Here is a 13,711-nt window from a genome sequence, read left to right as displayed (position 1 = left end):
CAAGCCCATCTCAAACAACAGCCCAAGGCAAGTTAAGTGCACAGTTATCAGACAGTAAACCTCTCTCTCCCTTGCCAGGCAGCACTAACATTCATTTCCATTTCTGGCTATTTGCACTCTGTTACCAGATACTCAAACTTAGCAATGGGTGCGTCTCATAACCGAATCATCTCTCTGCAACACCAAGACCATTTAATTTCTGTCATAATGGCCAACATCAGGTGCTATCTGCCACTGAGACAGCACAATTTTATAGAATTAATTGATAAAAATCAGCTTCACTTGGAATCTTTTGTCCTCCAAATTATTCCTGTTAATGACTGAGTAGCTCACACAATTTTATTCCTACTTTCACACAAATTCTTCAATGACCAACTTGCCAATTAAGGCTGATTAGAAAGTATTTGCTGATCAGGAAACTTTGTGAAGTTGGTCCTGAAATAAAGGAATTAACAGGTATTTATACATTTCTCTTAATGTGAAAACTATCAGGTACTATAGATAGAATTGTACCCCCTATGCCAAAAACATTTGGAAAAAAAAAAAACACAATCTCTATTCTCAAAAACATATTATCAGCTAGGTATGAAAATGATATATGTGATGTTCACAAAGATACGAATGAGGATTTTTGTGGTTGTACTATCTAAAATAATTAAAAACTTGAACATAACCTTAATGTTCATCAATAAGTAAATGCATAAATAGAATCTAATAACATATGAAAACAAAATGAATTAAAAAAATGGAATCTAGTACATTCCAACGGAACTGAAGACTGCCATTTAAAAGCTTCAATTTGTAAATTAGATAGAGACATGGAAAAGTTTTGATGAAAGAACAGAATATGAAATAATTTCCATGCCATGGTAACAACTCTGTAAAAATTTATGTAAACATATGGACAAAGGCTTGAATGGAATCAGCCAAAATTACATTAGCTAGGCAAACAAAATTGTCTATGGGTGGTTTATAATTGATTAAATATTGGAGTATTAGATTTATATATTTTAAAGTACAAAATTAGGCCAGGTGTGGTGGTGGATGTCTGTAATCCCAGCACTGTAGGAGGCCAAGGCGGGGGGATTGCTTGAGACCAGCAGTTCAAGACCAGCCTGGGCAACATAGGGAGACCCTATCTCTACGGAAAAAAAAAAAAAAAAATAGCTGGGTGTGGTGGCATCCACCTGCACCTGTGGTCCCAGCTACTTGGGAGGGTGAGGTGAGAGGATTGCTTGAGCCTGGGAAATCGAGGCTGCCCCAATCATGCCACTGCACTCTAGCCTGGGTGACAGAGTGAGACCTTGTCTCCAAAAAAAAAAAAAATTAAATCCTATATTATAAAAGATATGAAATATGAAATATTTAAGTGCTTAAGGGACTCAGAGTTTAAGCAGTAAGTCGAGGTTTTAAAGAAATGTTAAGTCTGGGCTGGGTGCGGTGGCTCACGCCTGTAATCCCAGCACTTTGGGAGGCCGAGGCGGGCAGATCACGAGGTCAGGAGATCAAGACCATCCTGGCTAACACGGTGAAACTCCGTCTTTACTAAAACTACAAAAAATTAGCCGGGCTTGGTGGCGCGTGCCTGTAGTCCCAGCTACTCAGGAGGCTGAGGCAGGAGAATGGTGTGAACCCAGGAGGCGGAGCTTGCAGTGAGCCGAGATCGCGCCTCTGCACTCCAGCCTGGGTGACAGAGAGAGACTCCGTCTCAAAAAAAAAAAAAAAAAAATGTTAAGTCTGATCTCATTCACTTGTTTGTATAAAGACAAATACCAAACATGGCAGACCACATGCTAAAAAAAATCTTTCTCAGGAACAATTTGGGCTGTGAATGGATCACATAAGGCAAAAACCAGCCAAGTTAGGAGTTCATGACTGCCTTGGCAGGCTCCTCTGGCTGCTCGTGTTTCATTACCACCATCCTATAATTATGCCTCAACCACTGTCCTTTATGCACACTGGCCATGCCCATCACTGCCATCTCTCCTGGGCCACATGACGATACTGGCCATGAACATGAGATGCGACAGGCTGAAGGTTAGTGCTCATATTGTTGTGCCTTATCTTTACTTTTTTCATTAGTTGCAGAGGTTCTTTCCATTATAATCCAACTGTAAAAATCACATCTATTTTAAGTTTTTCCAGAAACCTACAGAAAATAAGATACATGTCATAATTCTATTTCTAAATTTAAAAAAGGCAGTGTCCTGTCTGGCCATTATAGGAAATCTGAAATTATTATAAGAAATAAGAATTCTGGCCATTATTAGAAATCAATATCCTGTCTGGCCAAATAAGAAATCTGAACTCTGTGATTCCAAGCTGACACTTTTGTGGGATTTTTTTTCTTTTTTTTTTTTGAGACAGAATCTTGTTCTGTCGCCCAGGCTGGAGGGCAGTGGAGCAATCTCGGCTCACTGCAAACTCCACCTCCCGGGTTCAAGCGATTCTCCTGCCTCAGCTTCCCAAGTAGCTGGAACTACTGGTGTGCACCACCACGCCCAGCTAAGTTTTGTGTTTTTTAGTAGAGACGGGGTTTCGCTATATGTTGGCCAGGCTGGTCTCGAACTCCTGACCTCAGGTGATCTGTCCACCTTGTGCCCGAAAAGTGCTGGGATTACAGGCGTGAGCCACCACGCCTGGCTGAGACTTTTTTTAAGCCACAGAAATCACACAATTCAAAATTGCTATTTGACCCAATACAAGAAATATAAATTAGTTAACAATAAAAAGCACTTGTTAATCTTGCCCAAGGCTGTCAGGACATCTCTGGAATGATATCTGGACCAATGTTGCATTTATAATATGATTTTCATCTTTTCCTCAAGAAACATGAGTTAAGAAAACTGCAGTAGCAAGACTAAGGTAGACGTACACCGCTTAGTTTAAAAGTGTTCATTTCAGCCAATCAATTGGTTATTTGTGGACAATTCTTGAAAACTAGTATAATATATATTATATATACATATATAATATTTATTACATATATTATATATGTATATATAATATATATAATTTTTTTAACTGATAGATTACTGTGGAGTCAGAGATATAGCTTAAAGTTCTACTTTTTGCTGAAGAATAAGAGTTGGAAGTCAACCTCTGATCCAGCCATAATATTGTGCCAGTCTTTAGGATTTTGGTTTAAACAGCTGCATTGTATACTTCAGAGGATTTTTTTTTTAATTTCTCCATTAATCTTAGCATTTGGCACAATTTACTAAAACAGAACATGTGTGTATCCCTGACCCAGTAATTTCACTCCTAGGTATATATATACCCAACAGAAACACCTACTAGAATGTTCACAGCAGCACTGTCCATGAAAGCCCCAAACCGGAAACTATCCAAATACCATTAGCAACATAACTGACACATTTGGTACATACATACAATGGGATGCTATATAGCAATGAAAAAAATAAGCAAATTAGATACAACAGTAAGAGAAATCTCGCAAATATAACCTTGAGCACAAGAAGCCCCTGGTGAGAGAATATCCACTACATGATTCCATTTGTAAAAATTCAAAAATAGGCAAAGCTGATTGATCTGTGTATAAGCAGTCAGGATATGGAGGAAGAATACTAAGTAACTAGAGACTCTCCTTGAGTACTGATAATTCTGTTTCTTTCTTTTTTTCCCTTTTTTAAATAATAAGATTTTGAATCAGGCAGGCTTCTGAGCCATAGTAGGCTCAGAGACTCCAATTTTCTGTTTCTTAATTTGGTGCAGATTACATGGGTATGTCTCATCAAGCTATACACTTATGGTTTGTACACTTCTCAGTTTATCTGTTATACTTTACTAGTTTTTTTTAAAATGCACCCTCAGCCACTGTACCCCCCAAAAGTGACTGTTTCATGTATGTGTATTGCCACTTGACAATACGGCAAACTTAAAACAATTTAAGTAACTTCATTAAGGTTGAAAGTGTTTCACGTATGCTGGAAACAAGAGCAAAAAGATATTAAATGAAAAAATTGGGGGTTGTTTTTGAATTTTATAACAGAACAAACATATCAATCTACAAGGTCAGAAATCCGAAGTAAAAAATTAGAAAGGAGGCGGCTTCTGTATCAATAGTGGATCTTGCTCTGCAGAAGGACAAAGGGAGGGACAGGACCAGACAAAAGAAGGGAGAATAAAGACCCAAGGCGTGAGAATTTCGAGTCAGCCCATGGCGGATTTGAAATCAACAAAGGGGCAGCTTAGAAATGGACACTGGAGTGACACAAAGATGGTGTGATTGAGTACCGGGCACTACTAACATGTGGGAGACACACATTCACAGGGAGTCCAGGCAGCAACAGACCTCAACCCCTTTGCCAAACCAATGAAAGTGGACAGATGTTAGGTAGTAGGGAGTGACACGTGCACAATTCAGAATGCAGAAGTTCTCCTTTCTTTCCAAAAGAATCTAGTCATTCACAAAAACTCAATCTTACTTGGGCCAGATGATTTTTTTTTTGAGATGGAGTCTGGCTCTGTCACCCAGGCTGGAGTGCAGTGCCGCGATCTGGGCTCACTGCAGCCTCTGCCTCCTGGGTTCAAGCGATTCTTCTACCTCAGCCTCCTGAGTAGCTGGGACTACAGGCACCTGCCACCACGCCCAGCTAAATTTTTGTATTTTTAGTAGAGACGGGGTTTCACCATATTGACCAGGCTGGTCTCGAACTCCTGACTTTATGACCCACCCGCCTCAGGCTCCCAAAGTGCTGGGATTTCAGGCATGAGCCACCGCGCCCAGCATGGGCCAGATGATTTCTAATTTAAAAGGGAGGCCAGGCGCAGTGGCTCACGCCTGTGATCCCAGCACTTTGGGAAGCTGAGGCGGGCGGATCACCTGAGGCCAAGAGTTCCAGACCAGCCTGGCCAACATGGTGAAACCCCGTCTCTACTAAAAATACAAAAATTAGCTGGGTGTGGTGGTGCATGCCTGTAATTCCAGCTACTCGGGAAGCTGAGGCAGGAGAATTGCTTGAACCGGGAGGCAGAGGTTGCAGTGAGCAGAGATCGCACCACTGAACTCCAGCATGGGCGACAGAGTAAGACTCCATCTCAAAAAGAAAGGAAAAGAAAAAGAAAAAGAAAAAGAAAAAAAATTTAAATGGGGAGCCAGAGGTCTCAGTAGCTGGAAAATCCTGTAAAATATCACCTAAAACCATTCAGTCATTCTTTCAATATTATCTGTTGAATGGTTACTCTGAGCAATATTCTGGGCTAGAAGCCACCTGGACGAGAAAAGAGGTCCAAATTCTATTTTAAACAAGGTAAGGTGCAGCATTTTGTAATGGGATAGCCTATTGCTAAATTATTTAGTTAACTGTGAATCTCACACCCAACTCATAAGGTTCTCAGCTTGAGGTACTGTTTAAAGGCATGGATCCTTTTATGGTTAGGGTTTCTTTCTTTTTTTGTTGTTGTGGTTTTTTGTTTTTTTGAAACAGTCTTACTCTGTCACCCAGGCTACAGTGCAATGGTGTGATCTTGGCTCACTGCAACCTCCACCTTCCCAGTTCAAGTGATTCTTGTGCTTCAGCCTCCTGAGTAGCTGGGGCTACAGGTATATGCCACCATGCCTGGCTAATTTTTGTATTTTTAGTAGAGACAGGGTTTCGCCATATTGACCAGGCTGGTCTCGAACTCCTGACCTCAAGTGATCTTCCTGCCTCGACCTCCCAAAATGCTGGGATTACAGGTGTGAGCTACTGTGCCTGGCCTAGTTAGTTCTTTGTGTCAACTTTGCTAGGCTATAGTACCATTATCCAATAAAAGATTCATCTAAATGTTGCTGTGAAGGTATTTTGTAGATGTGGTTAACATCTATAATCAGTTGACTTTATTTTTTTTTTAATTTTTGAGAGAGTCTTGCTCTGTTGCTCAGGCTGAAGTGCAGTGGTGTAATCACAGCTCACTGCAGCCTTGACCTCCAAGGCCCAAGCAATCCTCTGACATCACCCTCTCAAGTAGCTGGGACCACAGGCATGTGCCACCCCACCTGGCTAATTTTTTTTAACTTTTGTAGAGATGGAGTTTCCCTATGTTTCCCAGGCTGGGTGGTTGACTTTAAGGAAAGGAGATTTTTCCTTGATAATGTGGGTGGGCCTCATATGATTAGTTAAAAGGCCTTAAGAGAAAAACTGAGTTTTCCCTGAGAAAGAAGAAATTCTAAGTAAAGAGTGCACCATGAGCTCCTGCCTAGTTTCCGGTCTGCCAGCCTTCCCTACAGATATGGGACTTGCCAGCCTCTCCAATTGCATAAACCAATCCTATTGGTTTTGTTTTTCTGGAGAACTGATTTTCTGTTTTTCTGGAGAACTCCAGTTATCCTGGAGAACTGATACAGATGGTAATCAAACCCCTTGAGTTCAAGGCCTGGCTCTGCCATGTCCCCATCTGGGTGTCCTTTTTACTTTTGTTGCCTCATTTGTAAAATGAGGATAATAACAGTAACCTAATGCATAGTAATCAGAACCACCCCTGGCACAGAGTGCTTTGAAAGTGTTTGTGAAATAAATAACTGTGGTTCCAAGTTGCACAAAATTCTGTATTTCTTAGCTGGAAAACCTGAGTTTTCTTTATTCCCAATAATTTGCCATCAACCAAACATGATGACTCTTCCCCACACCAAGAATTACATAGCCTTGGGACAACAGCTCCTCACCAGCCACGCCAGCCTAACCCCACTCAAAGGAATGATGCAGCAAAGCTGAGGTCACAGCACTTCTGGAACACTCTTAATTCTCCAAGTTCTCAGCTGCTAAAAACAGCTGAGCTTAAAGAGGCTGCCAGGAAACAGACTCCACAGAGAGCTATTCCTACTATTTGCAAGGGTGGGAGTTTTAGAAAGGAGTCCTAATCATTCCTTGTGTTCCCACTGTTAATCCCTACAGCAACTTGCCATGGCCCCTTGGGATGAAAGATTAAATGGGGAATCAAAGTGTTGTTTTTGTGGACACACATTTTAGAGGGAGAATATGATGCTGCTGCTGATGGTGATGATAACTTTTACTGAGCACTTACAAGATGCCAGATGCTGCTCTCAGTGCTAACCATTAACACATGTAAGCCTCAGAACAACCCCAGATGTAGATACTGTTAAGTTGGTGCAGAAGTCACGGCAGTTTTTGTCATTAAAAGTAATGGCAAAAACAGCAATTACTTCTGCACCAACCTAATACAACCATCCTCATTGCACAGATAAACAGAAAGTGGCCAAGGTGAAATCTGAACCCAGGCTTTCTGGCTCTCCCTCCTGTACACGCTACCGCTGAGCCTGGATTGTGACGAGGGAGGAGGGAGGCGAGGGAACAAGTACAGAACAGGGCTGTGATTGATGGGAGTGCTTGGCAAGCTCGGGTTCAATCAATGGTTAAATCAGCTTATTTTAAATGAAACAAGTTTCAAAGACTGAAGTAGAACAAATCATACACCATGTTCCTCCCTGAATTTCTTTTGTTCAAGTGTATAATTTGTGCCCACTTTTATACATAAATACCAAAGCTCACAAAAGATTCATGTTATGGTATTTCAACCTTTCATCTTCACATAAAAAAAAGCAAGGCAAAGCGATTTTGAAATTATTTCTCATTTATGCACCAGCAGTGCAATGAAATCAAACACCTGCTTATTGGAAAAATGATAAAACACATTTATTCTTATTTGCTCCCATATTACACCAAGTTTTCCCTACAGGACTTCATGTTGACAAAGATATCTTGTTCTACAGGATTCCTGTGAATTAAGTCTTAGAAGACTTTTCTGGAATATGTTTTTATACCTCAGAAAACAAAAAAGATACACAAGATCAGATTCTATCAGAAACTGGTAAATTTTCACACCAGGAAGATAGACTGGGTCTCAGATACTCTTGTCCAACTTCTCTGGCTCTCAATATTTTTCTATGCCCCAAGAAAATGATCTGAACACACAATTCACATTTTTTTTTTTGAGATAGAGTCTCACTCTGTTGCCCAGGCTGGAGTGCAGTGGCACGATCTCAGCTCACTGCAACCTCGGCCTCCCAGGTTCAAGTGATTCTCCACCTCAGCCTCCTCCCAAGTAGCTGGGACTACAGGTGTGCGCCACCACGTCAGGCTAATTTTTTTGTATTTTTAGTAGAGATGGAGTTTCACCATGTTGGCCAGGCTGGTCTCGAACTCCTGACCTCAAGTGATCCTCCTGTCTCAGCCTCCCAAAGTGTTGGGATTACAGGCGTGATCCACTGTGCCTGGCCACAATTTACTTTTACCCCAGAGACCTGCCTATAGTCATGCTGTCCTTTGGCTTATAGTCCCGTGGAGCTAATGCAGGATCATACAGAATCCTGGGTCAGAGAAGCTATTAAGGGGAAATTCTCAGATAGCTATGGCAGGAGAAGAGACGTGGAAGTGCCACAAATGAAGTTTACGCCAAGTCCTGAGACCTGATTTTGGCCAACTGTGTAAACTTGCCTTGCTGTGGAACTCTTTCCAGAGATAGAAGCATTAAGAATAATGCAACAACCCTGCTAATGTTTGCACCTAGAGAGGTTACGCTGACAACAGCCAGGCCTTCACGTCAGGCTGGTCATACCGGCATTCCTTGTCTATGGATTCCCTGCCATGAGGAACAGACTGCAATGGATGTTCACAGAGTGCTTTAAGAAGATTACATCCTTTTAAAAATCCATAAAATTATTACAAAAAAGAAGCCAACAAAACACTCCTTCCTGAAATTGTTCCCTTTGGGTAATAATATGAAAACATGTTTCCCATTGGAGCTCTCTTACAAGAAAAAACCTTCACTGTCAGATTTCTAGGTTTCTAATATTGAGATTCCTAGTATTTATGTACTCTGAATCCATGTTTGTGTGTATGCATAAATACACACATGCATATATAATTTAGTAAAATATAGTATGTGTATATATATATGTGTGTATATACATATTAATATATACATATATATAATTCAGTTAAAATATAGTTAAAAACAACCAATGAGCAATGTTCCAGCTAGTCCTTCCAGATCAGTTTTGTAAATTCTGTGAGGCACCTCCTCAAAACACCATCCTTTAAAACCAGCAAGACATAGCCTACTGCTGACTCCCTATGGCCAGAAAGGACACTCAGACAAGAGGCCTTCACTTTGACAGCTATCATCTGTCCTGGGCAAAAGCCAACAGCCACAGCACAGTCCTTCACCTTACACACTAATCTTGTTAAGAAAGCAAATCCTGAGATTTCAAGGCTGGGTTAAGAGAACCAACAGGTTCTCAGTTAACTTAGTGGCAAATGTAAGTGGCATCAATGAGTTCTACAATGCCAAGTATCGCCCAGTCTGGGAACAAAAACATTCCTGCCTTTTTTTTTAATGAATGGCAATTTAAAATGATAACTTTATGCTAAAGATTCACCTTTAACTTGTCATCTAACCAGTTATCAAAGCAACAGTGCAACACAGAATTCTGGCTTTGGGTGTCACTTCACATGTCAAGGCGCTGCAGCGGTGACTTGCAAGGTGTTTAGACGGCGGGCGAGAGGCTGAGTGCGTGGAAAGCCCTGCTGAAAGCCTGTTTTAAGCTTCCATTCGGTTCATCTGCTTTCCCACGGGCAAGCAGCGCCTATCACAGAGCTACCCCAGTCTTAGGTCAGCAGACAATATGGGCGAAGTCTGCAAGAGACGCACTGGCTTGGGTGTGGTCACTGGCAAAGAAAAGCACTGGACCCCTAGCAGCGGCTCCCAAACCTAGAGCCTCACCCTTGCGGGATCATTTCCACCCGCTTCTCCGCAATTTGACCACAATCCGCACCAGCCCTTACGGCTCCCCCTGAGAAAGCACAGCTGCAGCCCCTAGACTACGGCCGCCTCGGCAGACAAAGCCGCTGCTCGGGGGAACCCGCGCTGCACCGAGGCGACCTCCAGTCTTTGGCACCTGCGTCGCCGCCCGGCAGCTCCGCGCCGCTAACCACGCCGCGTCTCGGCAGCGGGTGGACAGCGCGGGGCGGGCGGCGGCGCTGCACCAGAAGGCACCCGAGCCGGAGTGGGGGGGTGGCTGTCTGCAGGCCCCCAGGCCGGGGGAGCGCCTCCCACACGGGATTCCCGGCGTGGCCAGGCCCCCATAAAACCCCAAAGCCAGCACGTGCCCGGAGGTTCCGCAGGGAGTATTCCCAGCACCAGAAAACTGCACCCTCGCGTCCTGGGTGGCCCTGGTTTGTCGTCGGATGGACACCAGGGTCGGCTATTGTTCTCCGGGTCTCCCCGAAGGGAGATCCGCCTCCCTGGCAGCACCTGCTGCTGGGCAAAGCCTTTCAGCTCCTCGAGAAAAGGGCGTGCCGTGGGCGCCGCGGAAGATCACAAAACCCTAAGCGAGTCGCTACCGGCTGGTTTCAAGCCTGGAGACAAAGCTCCTCACCAAGCCAGCCCAGCCCGGTCCCGGATCTGCCATCCTGGGTCCCTAACCCCGGTCCGAGGGCCACGCCCAGCCGGCCACCTGGGCCGCGGGGCCCCGCGCCTGGAGCTGAGGATCCTCGGGCCCGAGACCGCCTCTCAGCTGCTTGCCCCTCCCTCCTCGGGAGGCTCCCCTTCCCAGGAGGCCCCCCTCCCCCGCACAGCGCGGGTCTTCTCCTCGCTCCCGTCCTCCCTCCTCAAACCCAGGCGGCCTCCACCCGCCTGCATCCCTCCTCCCCTCCCCATTCTTCAGCAGAACCAGCCTCGCCGGGCGCCACCTGCACCGAGCTCCTTCCCTCGTTCTTCGGACCCGCCCCCGCCCCTTCTCTTTCCTCCTCAAACCCTAGTTCCCACTCCCTGCTCCCCGAGACCCACTACCTGTCCTAACCCAGCTCCCCAGCCTTCCCCATCCCCATCTTTTCTCAACCGAGGCCTCCCCTCGCCCTCTCCCGGCTTCTCTCCAGCTCAGACTACAGCCCCGTCCCCAGGCCCGGGGCGTCGACGTCGGTGCCCGCTGAGATCGATGCTGCAAGGCGGGCTCCCGCGCTGGGCTCCAGCCGAGGGACCCGGCTCGGCGCCCGCTCCGGGCTGGGCAGCCGCAGGAGGCCTTTGTGGCTCAGGCGGGAGGCTCGGAGGCGGCGGGCGAGTCCTCTGCAGGCGTCCGCTCCGTTAGCCGGGCGGTGGAACAGACCGCCGGGTCGGGTCCAGGCTGGGCAGATCCCAGCTCGGAGGCGAGAAGGACGGAGGGTGTGTATCTGGGTGGTGTGTGGGACCGGGGACAGCGCAGATCCTGGGACCGGCAGGACTGGCCCCCGGCCAGAGGCGCCCCCGCCCAGCCCTCCAGCGGTCCACTGCACCGCGCCCGGCTAGGAAAGCGGCCCACTGCGTGCTAGGCGCGAAACCCCTCGGCCGAGCCGCCTCCTCACCCCAGGGCTTTGCAACCCCGCGAGCACGCATTAAACGCTTACTATGAGCAAGGCCCGGCACGGCGCTTCGCGGGCGTACAAAGAGGACCCCAAGAGCGCCCCGGCTTAGCCCCGATGGCCACCTCCCAACCCCAAACCACACCTCCCGCCGCGTCCCCTGCGGCCGGGCCCCAGGCTCACCCGGCTCCCCGCCCTTTTGTGCGCCTCACGCAGAAACAGAAGGGGGAGAGGAGGATGTCCTAGCCCGGGAGGGGTAAGCCCACCGACCCCCCTGCCATCACCCACTCCTCCGAGATGCTGCGGCCGCGGGGGCCCGTGGCTCGGTCCGTCTCCGTCTCGCCGCGGCGCCGGAGCTGCGGGTGCTCGGGGCGGCGGCGGCTGCACGCGCGCTCGCTCGGGGGCCGCCTCAGCGCGCCCAGCGCGGGAGTCCAGAGTGGGGAGCGGGGGAGGGGCGCGTGTCGGGGGCTGGGAGCGGCCTCCGCCAATCACCGCGCGGCCGGCTCCTCCCGCCGCTCCCCACCTCAGCTAGCAGGTTAAGGGGAGGCGGGGACAGGCGGCGTCCCGCATCCTTGGCGCCGCGCGCCGCCGCCGCCTGGGGACTACAACTCCCGGCAGGCCCTGCTGCAGGGCCGGGGTCCGAGAGCGGACGGAGGGCGCGGCCGGAGAACTCACCGACCCCCCTAGCACCCGGCTCCGCGTTCCCTCGGGTTTCCATGGCGACTCAGGACACCACAAAGCCTGGACGCGCTGAGGCACGGGTCCCCAGGGAGGGCCGGGGGCGGTTCCGGAGGACACCCCGCCTCCCCTCCCCCAGCTGGATCCCACCCCAGGGGCTGAAACAATGCCGCGGCCGCCTCTCCCGGGCTGCGGCCGCGCTGCCCTCCGCCGCAGGACCCCGCCGAGGCCGCCTGGTTCGCGCCAAGACCCGCTCCGACGCCCGCGGGATTGCGGGATGCAAAGGGCCGGGTGGGCGTTATAGGAAAACTGTTCTCATGAACAAAGTGGACGGCCACTTGGGGCCACCGCAGTTCGCATCTGCACCCGGGGAGGTCTCGAACCCGGAGTGCGTTCTCTCCACTGAGAAGATTTTGCCCAGCGCCACGCGGGTGCTTCCCTGTCCAGAGCGCTCAGGCCCAGTGCCTGTCTTATTTCTGGCTTCTGTCAAGGGACAGCGAAGCCTTTGGAAATTATTTATAACCCAATTTACATTCGCTTCACCTGTTTCTTCATGTTTAAATACATACATAATTTACCAAAATAAACAAATCTAAAAAAGGAGAGGAAGGATCATCCCCGGTTTGTCCCACCTCCCTAGCTAATCCCGGTTCAAGCCTTTGCCATTGATCTGTGTTATTTTCTGCAGTTGTAATAATAGTTTGGATTAGTCATTTGCCTCTTTGCACTTAATGTCACTCCAAAGGCGTTGCGATGCGCGTTAAAATGCAGCATCAAGGACCTCCAAGCTGCAGCTGCAGAATCCCTCCCTCCCCGGGCTCCCCGGCGATCCGGTGGGGAGAGGAGTCCCCTGGCAGCCATGGCCTCGTGAGGTGGTTCTCTTTGCAGGATACTTTCAAACAAAATGGTGTTCACTACTCCGGGGGCGTGGAGGGGGTCCCCTCTCCCCATCTCAGCAAAATCTACCCGGGCGCAGGACCCGCAGAGCCCGCCAAGGCGGGGTTCCCTGCCGTCCTTCCCCAGAGAGCTTAGGGCCTGGACCAGGCCAGGCTGGCCTTTGAGGGATGCATTTCTGGATTACCCCACCCCTGAGTCTGCACTCCTTCTCCCCTTCCCAACTCCCGCCTGCTTGGTAAGCAGAGAGCAGGGAGCCCCCAGAGGAACCTCAAAGCATCCCTAACCCAGTGCAGCCCGGGATGTGGCTGTGAAAACTGCTCCAGCTTGGGGCACTGCCCTATGGATTCTCCAGGGCTTGCCCGGACAGGGATGTAGGCAAAATGGACTGGGCTTCAGGGAGGTGGCGTGGAGCTGCCAGCGGCCTCCCGGCGGCGGGGTTCCGAGACTACCGCGCGCGGGCGGTGCTGCGCTTTTTGCTTAAGGGAGAGAGAGCCCTCTAGTGACTGTAAATGTTTTCTGCAGCGTCTCGTAGACCTTAAATTTGGATTCTAGCATCTTAGCTTTCTTGGGCTACCTTCCCTAGTCAGCGAAACGGCTGCCTCTACGTCATCTGTCAGTTTAGGATATTGATAAAGGTTGCACCCAAACCGGGGGTTGCATATGTCCTCAGTCCTCGACTTCGGTTTGTTGTTGCTAACTTAGGCTCCGTTTCCTGGGAAGTAGAAAGAGCACAGAGCTGGGAGTCCCGCATTGCTGGGTTGGAATCCTTGCTCCTTCAG

At 48.4% G+C, this 13,711-nt stretch overlaps 1 protein-coding gene across 4 annotated transcripts in view; it reads right to left on the bottom strand.

The window, feature by feature from the left end:
* The window catches only part of DPYSL5 (dihydropyrimidinase like 5), a 102,357-nt gene extending 90,452 nt beyond the window's left edge, over positions 1-11,905 (bottom strand). The window contains exon 1 of one of the 4 annotated variants that reach the window (NM_001253724.2): positions 11,403-11,905. The gene's annotated coding sequence lies outside the window, so the exon portion shown is untranslated. Of the gene's footprint in view, positions 1-10,399; positions 10,495-11,402 lie in introns of those variants that run through there. The other 3 variants (NM_001253723.2, NM_020134.4, XM_024453007.2) reach the window with 3 other exon arrangements.
* Positions 11,906-13,711: the final 1,806 nt, after the last annotated feature.

This window comes from Homo sapiens, chromosome 2 (genome assembly GCF_000001405.40).
Source record: "Homo sapiens chromosome 2, GRCh38.p14 Primary Assembly".
Classification (NCBI taxonomy): Eukaryota; Metazoa; Chordata; class Mammalia; order Primates; family Hominidae; genus Homo; species Homo sapiens.
Note: the sequence above shows the minus strand (reverse complement) of the source record. Positions and strands in the feature narration are given on the sequence as shown.